General features: G+C 51.5%; 2 annotated features.

Annotated features, from left to right (window-relative positions):
- Positions 625 to 919: a silencer, noted in NCBI's record as "tiled region #11104; HepG2 Repressive DNase matched - State 9:DNaseU, and K562 Repressive DNase unmatched - State 20:ReprD". NCBI's record gives its function as "represses a minimal TATA promoter and a strong SV40 promoter by Sharpr-MPRA in HepG2 and K562 cells {active_cell/tissue: HepG2 | K562}" and the evidence as "EXISTENCE:reporter gene assay evidence [ECO:0000049][PMID:27701403]".
- Positions 9,205 to 9,751: an enhancer, noted in NCBI's record as "H3K4me1 hESC enhancer chr19:5395257-5395803 (GRCh37/hg19 assembly coordinates)". NCBI's record gives its function as "activates a minimal SCP1, AML or CMV promoter by ChIP-STARR-seq in naive H9 embryonic stem cells {active_cell/tissue: H9 hESC(naive)}" and the evidence as "EXISTENCE:reporter gene assay evidence [ECO:0000049][PMID:30033119]".

Genomic DNA, 11,112 nt, shown 5'->3' with positions numbered 1-11,112 from the left:
AGAGACACAAAGCCAGAAAGAGAGGAAGAGACAGAGACACACACAGAGAGACGGAAAGAGACATAGAAAGACAGGCGGACAGAGACAGAGAGGTACAGAGGTGGAGAGAGACACAGACAGAGACAAATAGAAAGAGAATAGAGAGATGGGCAGAGACAAAGACAGAGATAGAGACAGAGAGACAGAGGTGGGCAGAGACACAGAGACAAAAAGAAAGAATAGAGAGACAGGCAGAAACAAAGAGACACAGAGACAGAGAGACAAAGACAGGAATAAAGACAGAGAGACAAGACAGAGATAGAGACAGGGAGACAGATACACACAGAGATAGGAAGACACAGAGATGGGCAGAGAAAGAAAGCCACAGAGAAAAATAAAAAATCAGAAAGAGAATAGAGAGAGAGGCAGAGACAAAGACAGTTGCAAAGACAGAGACAAGGAGACAGAGAGACAGAGAACTGATTGGGTCTGTTACCCCAACAACCCAGGATCCCCTGAATTCTCACGTGGGTAGGTAGGGTTTGGGGCCAGGTGGGATTTGGGAGGCCAGCCTCCCCAGAAGGAGAGGCTCAAGCTAGCAGAAGTCACCAAGCTCGGAGCCAGGGAGGTGGTTCTGTGAAAGAACCATGCAAGTTCCTGAAAGCCCCGAATTTCGCAGCCCTGCATGTGGACAGTGCAGGCTCCCTACCAAGGAGCTGCTAGCAGGGAACAGGAGATGCTCCACCCTCCCTTAAGCCGCTCCTACCAGCACCGTTCAGTACCACGGACAGCGACACAGCCCTGGTGCCAGGAGAGGAAAGGAAACCCCAGGGTTTGGCCTTCTCACTCATCCTTTGCCGCAGCCAGCAGTCTTCCCTGTGAGGGAGAATGGTTGCGCTCTCTCTTGGTTGCGCTCTTCTCTCTCTCTCTCTCCCTCCCTCCCTTCTTCCTTTTCTTTTCCTCTTTCTTTCTTTTCTTTCTCTTTTTCGTTCTTTCTTTCTTTCTTTCTTTTTTGAGACAGAGTCTTACTCTGTCATCCAGGTTGGAGTGCAGTGATGTGATCTTGGCTCCCTGCAACCTCCACCTCCTAGGTTCAAGTGATTCTCCTGCCTCAGCCTCCTGAGTAGCTGGCACTACAGGCATGTGCCACCAAGCCTGGCTAATTTTTGTATTTTTAGTAGAGACAGGGTTTTCCCATGTTGGCCAGGCTGGTCTCAAACTCCTGACTTCAGGTGATCTGCCTACCTTGGCCTCCCAAAGTGCTGGGATTACAGGCCTGAGCCACGGCAACCAGCCTGACTCTGTTAATTTTTGTTGCGTGACCTCAGGCAACTGATTGTTTGTATTGGTTAGCTATTGCTGTGTAAAAAACTACCCCAAAACTTAGTGGCTTAAAACAACACTCACTTATGATCTCAGTTTCTGCAGATCAGGAATCTGGGTATAGCTTGACTGGGTCCTGTACTTCAGGCTGTCACGAGGTGTTGGCCAGCAATAGAGTCTCATCTGAAGGCTCAACGGGGTAGGATTTGCTTCCACATTCACATGGTTGTCAGCAATACTTAGTTCCTTGATGGCGGAGGCTACCCAGGTTCTCGCCATGTGGGCCTCCTGACCACATCAGCCTGCTTCATCAAAGCTAGCAAGAGGCTGGGCACAGTGGCTCATGCCTGTAATACCAGCACCTTGGGAGGCCAAGGCAGGAGGATCACTTGAGGCCGGGAGTTTGAGACCAGCCTGGGAAATAGGGTGAGACCCTCCCTCCACCATCTCTACAAAAAAAATTTTTTAAACAAATTAGCTGAGCATAGTGACACATGCATATAGTCCTAGCTACTCAGGAGGCTGAGGTAGGAGGATCACCTGAGCCTGGGAACTGAGGCTGCAGTGAGCCGTGATCATGCCACTGCACTCTAGCATGGGTGACAAAGTGAGACCCTGTCTCAAAAAAAAAAAAAAAAAAAAAGAGATGTGATTTTGCTCTGTCACCCAGGCTGGAGTGCAATGATGGTATCATAGCTCACTGCAGCCTCAAATTCATGGGCTCATGAGATCCTCCTACCTCAGCCTCCCAATAAGCCATAATTACAGGTGCAAGCCACCACGCCCAACTGTATTTTATCCTTTATAAGAAGGAGAAGAGATTCCACAAGGGCAGGAGTACCAGAAGTGGGATCAAATGAGGACATCTTCGTAAGCTGCCCAATACAGTGCCCACTCTGAGCCTCAGTCTCTTCAACTGTAAAAGGGATAGTGAGTTCCTACTTTGCACGGTCGTGGGGAGGATGCTGTGCAATGGGACATAGAAAAGTTCTCAGCTTAGTGAGCAATCTCCAGCTCTTTCTCCTTCTGGAGAAACAAGTGCAAGGTTTGGGCCTCTGAACTGGGGGATTCCCTGCATTCTGTTCCCCCATTTAGAGGTGAGGTTGGCCTGAGTTGACATGGAGCTTTGCAAAACTGTTCTGACTCCCACAGTGCAGTCATTTGTTAATTCACTGGCTTACCTGATGTGTGAGTTTCCTGTGACCACGAACTGGTGGCTTAAATAACAGAAATGTGTCGGCTGGGCACGGTGGCTCACGCCTGTAATCCCAGAACTTTGGGAGGCTGAGGCGGGTGGATCATGAGGTCAGGAGATCAAGACCATCCTGGCTAACGCGGTGAAACTCCGTCTCTACTAAAAATACAAAAAAATTAGCCGGGCGTGGTGGCGGGCGTCTGTAGTCCCAGCTACTCGGGAGGCTGAGGCAGGAGAATGGTGTGAACCCGGGAGGCGGAGCTTGCAGTGAGCCGAGATCACGCCACTGCACTCCAGCCTGGGCCACAGAGCGAGACTCCATCTCAAAAAAACAAACAACAACAACAAAAAAACCAACAAAAAACAGAAATATGTCACAGTCCTGGAGGCTAGAAGTCTGAAACCAAGTTGCCAGCAGGGCTGGTTCTTTTTTCCTTCCTTCCTTCCTTCTTTCCTCCCTCCCTTCTCTTCCTCCTTCCTTTCCTCCCTCCCTTCTTTCCTTCCTTCCTTCTTTCCTTCCTTCCTTCCCTCCTTCCCCCCTGCCTCCCTCCCCCCTCTTCCTTCTTCCCTCCTCCCAACCCTCTCTTCCTTCTTCCTGCCCTCCTTCCTTCCCTTCCTCCCTGCCTCTCTTCCTCCTTCCTTCCTCCTTCCCTCCCTCCCTCCTTCCCTTCGTCCCTCCCTTCCTTCCTTCCTTCCTTCCCTTTCTTTCAGTTTTCTGAGACAAGGTCTTGCTCTGTCACCCAGGCTGGAGTGCAATGATGCAATCACAGCTCACTGCAGCCTCGACCTCGTGGGCTCAAGTGATCCTCCACCTCACCTTCCTGAGTAGCTGGGACCACAAGCCTGTGCCACCACACTTGGGTATTTTTTTTTTTTTTTTTTTTTTTTACTTTTAATAGAGACGAGGTCTCATTCTGTTGCCCAGGCTGGTCTTGAGCTCGTGGCCTCAAGCATCCTCCCATCTCAGCCTCTGAAAAGCACTGGGATCACAGGCAGGAGCCACCATGCCTGGCCGGCTGCTGCTTCTTGAGGGATGTAAGGGAGGGGTCTGTCCCAGGCCTTTCTCCTTGGTTTGTAGATGGCAACTTCATATTCACACAGCATTCTCCCTGCACGCATACCTGTGCCCACATTGTCCCCCTGCCCCTTCGTTTTTTTGTTTGTTTTGAGAAGGAATCTTCTCACTCTGTTGCCCAGGCTGGAGAGCAATGGCACGATTTCAGCTCACTGCAACCTCCGCCTCCCAGGTTCAAGGGATTCTCCTGCCTCAGCCTCTGGAGTAGCTTGGATTACAGGCGCCCACGACCACACCCAGCTAATTTTTCTATTTTTAGTAGAGACAGGGTTTTGCCATGTTGGCCAGGCTGGTCTCGAACTCCTGACCTCAAGTGATCCCCCCCGCCTCAGCCTCCCAAAGTGCTGGGATTACAGGCATGAACCACATTGTCCCCTTTTATAAGGTCATCAGTCGTATTAGATTAGAGCCCACCCTACTCCAGTTACATCTGTACCACCTCCAGTACATTCGGAGGTTCTGAGGGGTGAGGACTTCAGCATATAGGTTTTTTGGGGGAGAGACGATGTAACCCATAATGCCGGCCAATGAGAGACCCTTGTCTCTTTGTCTGTCTGTCTCTGTTAGGGTGTCCCTGAGCGCCTGTCTCTGTCTCTTTGTTTCGGTCTGTCTCTGATTCTGTGTGTCCGTGTCTCCAAGCTCATTCCCACCACTGGTCCTTGGTACGTGCTGTCCTCTCTGCTTGGAAACTCCTGGCGCTTTGCACTTCTGGCTCCTTCTCAACTCAGATGGCCCCTCCTCAGTCACACCCTCCAATCCCCCTCTACTGTCTCCTTGCTGTTTTTGTTTTTGTCTTGTTTTTTGAGACAGGGTCTCGCTCTGTCACCCAGGCTGGAGTACAGTGGCGTGATCATAGCTCACTGCAGCCTCGACTTCCTGGGCTCAAGTGATCCTCCCACATCAGCCTTGGAGTGCACTACCAGGTCTGGCTAATTTAAAAAAAAAAAGTATCTATCTATTTATTTATTTATTTGAGATAGAGTCTCACTCTGTTCCCCAGGCTGGAGTGCAGTGGTGTGATTTTGGCTCACTGCAACCTCCGCCTCCCGGGTTCAAACGATTTTCATGCCTCCACCTCCCAAGTAGCTGGCATTACAGGTACCCGCCACCACGCCCTGCCAATTTTTTTTTTTTTTTTTTGTATTTTTAGTAGAGATTGGGTTTCACCATGTTGGCCAGGCTGGTCCTGAACTCCTGACCTCAGGGGATCCATGCACCTCAGCCTCTCAAAGTGCTGGGATTATAGGCATGAGCCATCACGCCTGGCCTAAATTTTTTTGTTGTTGTTGTTGAGACAGAGTCTCACTATGTTGACCATGCTGGTCTCAAACTCCTGGCCTCAAGTGATCCTCCTGCCTTGGCCTCCCAAAGTGCTGGGATTACAGGCATAAACCACCAGGCCTGGCCTCTTTGCTGTTTTGTAAGCATGCCCAGCATGTTCCTGCCTCGGGGGTTTTTGCCCTGGCGATTTCCCCTCAGCCAGGAACACCCTTTGGTTACATGGCTCCATCATCTTCAGGTCTCAGCACAAGTGTCTGGATCACCTATAGAGTCTCCTGGCCAGGAGCGGTGGCTCATGCCTGTAATCCCTGCACTTTGGGAGGCCGAGGCAGGTAGATCATGAGGTCAGAGGATCGAGATCATCCTGGCTAACACGGTGAAACCCCGTCTCTACTAAAAATACAAAAAATTAGCCGGGCGTGGTGGCGGGTGCCTGTAGTCCCAGCTACTCGGGAGGCTGAGGCAGGAGAATGGCATGAACTGGGGAGGCAGAGCTGGCAGTGAGCTGAGATTGCGCCGCTGCACTCTAGCCTGGGTGACAGAGCGAGACTCCATCTCAAAAAAAAAAAAAAAAACAAAAAGAATCCTTCTCCTGTAGTCACTCCCAGAGCCCCTCCTCCTCTGCTTGCTCTCTGCCCATGGCACTGGATGGAATAACCCATCATTGTAACTGTTTCTTTTATTTTGAGATGGAGTCTTGGTCTGTCACCCAGGCTGGAGTGCAATGGTGCCATCTTGGCTCACTGTAGCCTCTGCCTCCCAGGTTCAAGCGATTTTCCTGCCTCAGCCTCCCGAGTAGCTGGGATAACAGATGCATGCCACCACGCCTGGCTAATTTTTGCATTTTTTAATTTTTATTTTTTAGTAGGGACGGGGTTTCACCATGTTGGTCAGGCTGGTCTCGAACTCCTGACCTCAAGTGATCCACCCACCTTGGCCTCCCAAAGTGCTGGAATTACAGGTATGAGCCACTGTGCCTGGCCCATTTTATGTTTTGGTGCCCAGCTCCTAGAAGAGGGCCTGGCTCACAGCATGTGGGCAATAAATGTTTTCAAAACTGGTCAGTCCTAGGACTAATCGAGAGATCTTAGAATGAGGGCGTAGACCTGTGGCATCGTGGAAGCTTGTGAATGGCTGCTGAATCCCAGGTGTAGAGTCTTAGAACTGCCACCCAATCATAGAGTCAGAAAGAAAGGAGTCTCAGGATCCCCCTACTCCAATTCCTGCATCATTTTCCTGGCATGGTTTTACAGATTGTCTTGGTTACCTCCTGTGATGGGGACCTCACTACCACTTAGGGCAATCCATTCAGGCTTTGGACAGTTCCACAGGTGTTGAAAAATCCTTCCTTAAGAATTGAGCATGCATTTTTCACTTTGGAATTCTCTCTGATCCCAGAACCTGCCCTTCCCTGCCTCCAATCCTTCCGTGTTGGCCATAATCAGTTCCTTCTGCCTCGTGGGGGTCAGTGGGGTGGAGGCGGGAAGAAGAGGAGGGATTTGAAAGCAAGAATCCTGCTTTCTGAGGCTCAGTTCTCCATTTTTCAGCTTGTCCTGAAATTTTCTGACAAAGATGCTAGCTGAGGTGTTAGCTGATAAGTAAAGTGTTAGCTGATAACTTAGGTGTTAGCTGACAACTAAAGTGTAGGCTGATAACTAAAAGGTTAACTGATAAGAGAAGCCTGCCTGATAAGTGGAATGTTGGAAGATAACTTGAGTGTTAGGTAAGAATTAAAGTGCTTTGGCTGATCATCTCTTCCTCCCTCCCTCCATTCCTCCCTCCCTTGCGTCCTAAGCATTTATTAGGCACCTACTGTGTACCAGGTTCAGTGCTGGGAGTGGGTGTTATAAAATAGATCAGATGCAATCTCTCCTTCAGGGTACTCAGGCAGACACAGCTAAGATCTAAGCTCTCTCGGAAGCCCTGGAGCCAGCAGAGTCTTTAAGACACCAAGGCACGGAGTTATCATGGTGGGATGTCGGCCAGCAGGGAGATTTTCCCCCGCCCTGACCAGCTCCCCGCCTTGCTGGCAAACGAGGTAAACCCCTCAAGCCTGTCTCTGGTGTTGGCACTTCTGGGCCGGCTCCTCTGTCTCCAGTGTGGGTGGCGAGTGACTTCATCTGGCCCCAGTAGCTGTCACTCAGACCTAGTCGGACAGCCGACAACATGGTTGCCATGGAAACGAATATGCTTCCCCCTGGAGGCGGGGTGAGCCAGGGGAGAGGGAAACTCTACGTGAATTCTTGAATTCGGGCACAAAGTGACCCAAGGCCTGATGAATCCAGTGGGGGAGCAGTTAACTCCTTCACTGCTACTCCCCTTCTCACTCCCTACGCTCTGGCTCTCTTGGGGAGCTCAGTATCAGGATTAAAAACCTTCGTTCTGGGGTGTCAGGTGGCTAAAGCCCAGCTCTTCATCCAGGCAACTTAACCTCTCCGTGCCTCAGCTTCCTTATCCAGAAGGTGGGTATGAGGATCTGCACTCACTCATTCATTCATTTATCCATTGAGGAAATTGAGCTCACAGGACATCTGTCACATGCCAGGCACTATATTCTAGCTGTGAAGAGGGTAGAAAAGACACTGGGCCCAGGCTGGGCATGGTGGCTCATGCCTGTAATCCCAGCACTTTGGGAGGGAGGCCGAGGCAGGCCGATCACTTGAGGTCAGGAGTTTGAGACCAGCCAGGCCAACAGAGTGAAACCCCATCTCTACTAAAAAATACAAAAATTAGCCGGTCATGGTGGTGCGTCCCTGTAATCCCAGTTACTTGGGAGGCTGAGATGGGAGGATCACTTGAGCCCAGAAGGTGGAGGCTGCAGCGAGCCATGATCACACCACTGTACTCCAGCCTGGATGACAGAGCCAGACCCTGTCTCAAAAAAGAAGGAAAAAAAAAGAGCCTATGTTTCTGCTCACCTGGGAAACTGTTCAACAGGTGTCCTTTATCTGCAGGACTTGTCAGAGCCTTTACTATACAAATCTGAGTCTCCAAGGTTGGGGAGGAAGGAGGTACCTTCCTAAACTTATCTGAGCCTGGAATCCTTCGTTTTCAGACACTTCTCAAGGGAGTAGATTCAGCCACTGTGGTGATGTGGAAACAGCAGGGAACTTGATGTCACAGGCCTGGGTTCAAATCCTCACATTGCTGAGTGACCTTGGGGATGCGTCTGTAAAAGGGGATGAGGCAGATGCCACAGGTACCCTGCCCATGTCCCCAGATGGGTCCCAGCTGCCAGCACCTGCTTCCCTCTACCCACTGGCATTCTCTGTCCTCAGGACTGCACTGGACCCATGTGTGCCAGGGACTGGCCCCTAGGAGCAGCCCTCAGACAAGGATTGGCTGGTGTTGGAGGATAAATACCCCAGCTCCCTCGCCCCTCTGCTGGGACACCTCTGAATCACGCCTCATACAGTAGTACCCAGCAGGATCAAGTTCCGGGTGCCCATGCCAGTCACCTGCTCACCAATGTCCCCCATACTGGCTCCTTCTCTTGCTGCTCTTTCCCTCCCCTTCTTCCTCTACCTCCCAGATAATACTTCCTCCTCCCAGACAGCCCCAGATGGTGCCTCAGGTCCCCGCTCACTCAGACCTCATTGTTCATCGGCTTTCCCCCTAACACCTCCCTTGTTGGAAAACATCAGAGAAAATCTCTCCCAGCAGCACGTCTTCTCTTCAGTCCTTCCTCCTAGCCTTTGCTTATACTGTACTCCTGGAACCCCTTTCCTCTCCTCCTAACCAAATCCTTATTCTGTAGGTCAGGATTCCCCTCACTAGTAGGGCCCAGAGTGATTTCACATCGTCCCCCAACAAGTTTCTAAATAGCATTAGCTGGCAGGGTGAGACAGCCAGCCCCTTTCCAGTCCTCTTTCCTTCCTTCTGATGATTTAAAGGACAGGGTCTCTGCTGGGTAATCAGGGGAGTTTAACCCTTTCCTAGCCCTCGCGAATCCTCTTTTTAGGCAAAGCAATCACAGGCTGCAGGCTCCCAGCCTCGGGCAGGCAGCGACACCTCACTAGAATGAAATAACTGCGTTTTGTTTCTGTCATGTGAGTTTTACCACCCACCTTCTGTTTGTGGCAGGTGCAACCGGCTCTCCATTTTCAGGGAAGCAGAGCTGCTGTTTTTAAATACACTCACTAGCGAGGACATGATTCAGTTGGGAAGAAAATGTTAAATAAATCTTGGAACAGGTGGGGCACTGATGTGGTGGCCACCCTCACCCTGGTGCTGGCTGAGGAAGCTTGGGACACGCTCACCTCCATCAGGAAGCCCTCCAGATTTTCCCTGTCAAGACTTCCAGACCTCTTCTTGTCTCGTCTTGTCTTTTTTATTTTCTCCTTCCTCCCTTCCTCCCCCCGCCCTCCTCTCTGATGACAGGCGTGACGCACCAGGCCTGGCCCCATTGCTTTCTTTTTTTCTTTTGAGACAGAGTCTCGCTCTGTGTCCCAGGCTGGAATGCAGTGGCACAATCTCAGCTCACCGCAACCTCCGCCTCCCGGGTTCAAGTGATTCTTATGCCTCAGCCTCTCAAGAAGCTGGGATTACAGGCGCCTGATACCACGACTGGCTAAATTTTTTTTTTTTTTTTTTTTTTTTTTTTGTATTTTTAGTAGAGATGGGATCTCACTATGTTACCCAGGCTGGTCTTGAACTCCGGGCCTCAAGCGATCCTCCCGCCTTGGTCTCCAAAAGCGCTGGGATTACAGGTGTGAGCCGCCACGCGCCCGGCCCCATTGCTTTGCTTCCTAAGACCCGGCCCCCACCGGGCTCCACCGGAGCCCCCAGTGTTAACACTCTATAGGGTGCAGTTCTCATTCCGGGAGGGCAACCTGGAGCGGATGACAGGTGTCCCTGGGTCTCAGCCTTCCTGTTTGTGCCAGAAGGAGAGCCGGGACGGTGGGGAGGGAAGAGGGGCAGGCGCCTCCGTGCCAGCTGGGCCTGCCTCCCGCAGCTGCTGGCGTTGCCATGGTTACTGAGCAAGCATCTCGCCCCCCGCCCCCGATCCGAGCCCCTCACCCTCAGACCAGGCCCTTCCAGGGACCGGCGGCTCCTGGGTGTCATGGAAACGGTTTCCAAGCACCCACAGTGGGCTTCCTCATTGGCTGAGCGAGGCTACAGGCAAAGGTCACCCCCGGGGTCACTTCTAGGGGTTTCTTCAAGGTCCCCGCCACCCAACGCGAAGTGGCATGTCTGGAATGGGGTCTTGATTTTTAATTCCTTCGTCCCTGGCGATGCTGGAGCGGCTCTAGTCCGTCAGAGGGGCTCTCTTGGTGGGAGGACCTTCAGCCTCTCCCCACCCCCACCCCCGCCCCGCCAAACTCCCCAAAGTCCACAACAAAAACCTCTGTTCTAAGTAAATACATTCGGCTCACTCTGCAAATGTGGCACGGAGAGCAGCCGCCAGGCAGCCCCTCCCCTTTCTTCCAGAACCTTCTTCCAGCAGCCGTGGCTGCTTCAGAGTAGGAGCTGAGGGGCCGAGACCCTGTACTCAGGAGCAGAGGACAGCGTGGCTGGGGTTGAGCCCTGGGAGATTGGAAAAATTAAAAATAGTAAGAATAGCAGCAGCTGATAATTCAGTGGTTTGCAACCCCCTGTTTTAGGTACACACACGTATGAACTCATTTAATCCTTTAACATAAAGTGAACAGGAAGGTACCATTATGCCCATTTTATTTATGTATTTATTTATTTTAGAGACAAGGTATCACTCTGTTGCCCAGGCTGGAGTGCAGTCCTTCAATCATAGCTCACTGCTGCCTCAACCTCTTCCCCCTAGACTCAGCGATCCTCTCACCTCAGCCTCCCGAGTAGCTGGGACCACAGGCATGTATCACCGCACCCAGCTAATTTAAAAAAAAATGTTTTTTTTCATAGAGATAGGGATCTCACTATATTGCCCAGGCTAGTCTTGAACTCCTGGGCTCAAGTGACCCTCCTGCCTCAGCCTCCCGAAGTGCTGGGATCATGGGTGTGAGCCAGCGTGTCTGGCCTCCATTATCTCAATTTTAGAGATAGGGAAACTGAGACCCAGAGAGATCAAGATCGTGAACTATGAACAAAAGCAGCAGCCTGGGACCTGAACCCAGGCCACGTGGTTCCAGGATCAGTGTTAGCCACCAGGCTTGTCTTTGCCTCTGACCATGTAGTTCAATACCCCCTTAAGTGACGTCTGCACTGGGGGATGGGAGCAGGAAACAGGGACCACGAAGGAGATACCCAGAGAGGGATGAGACCCTGGGTAGCCAGAGGGGGAGAT

This window comes from Homo sapiens, chromosome 19 (genome assembly GCF_000001405.40).
Source record: "Homo sapiens chromosome 19, GRCh38.p14 Primary Assembly".
In the NCBI taxonomy this organism is placed as follows: Eukaryota; Metazoa; Chordata; class Mammalia; order Primates; family Hominidae; genus Homo; species Homo sapiens.
Note: the sequence above shows the minus strand (reverse complement) of the source record. Positions and strands in the feature narration are given on the sequence as shown.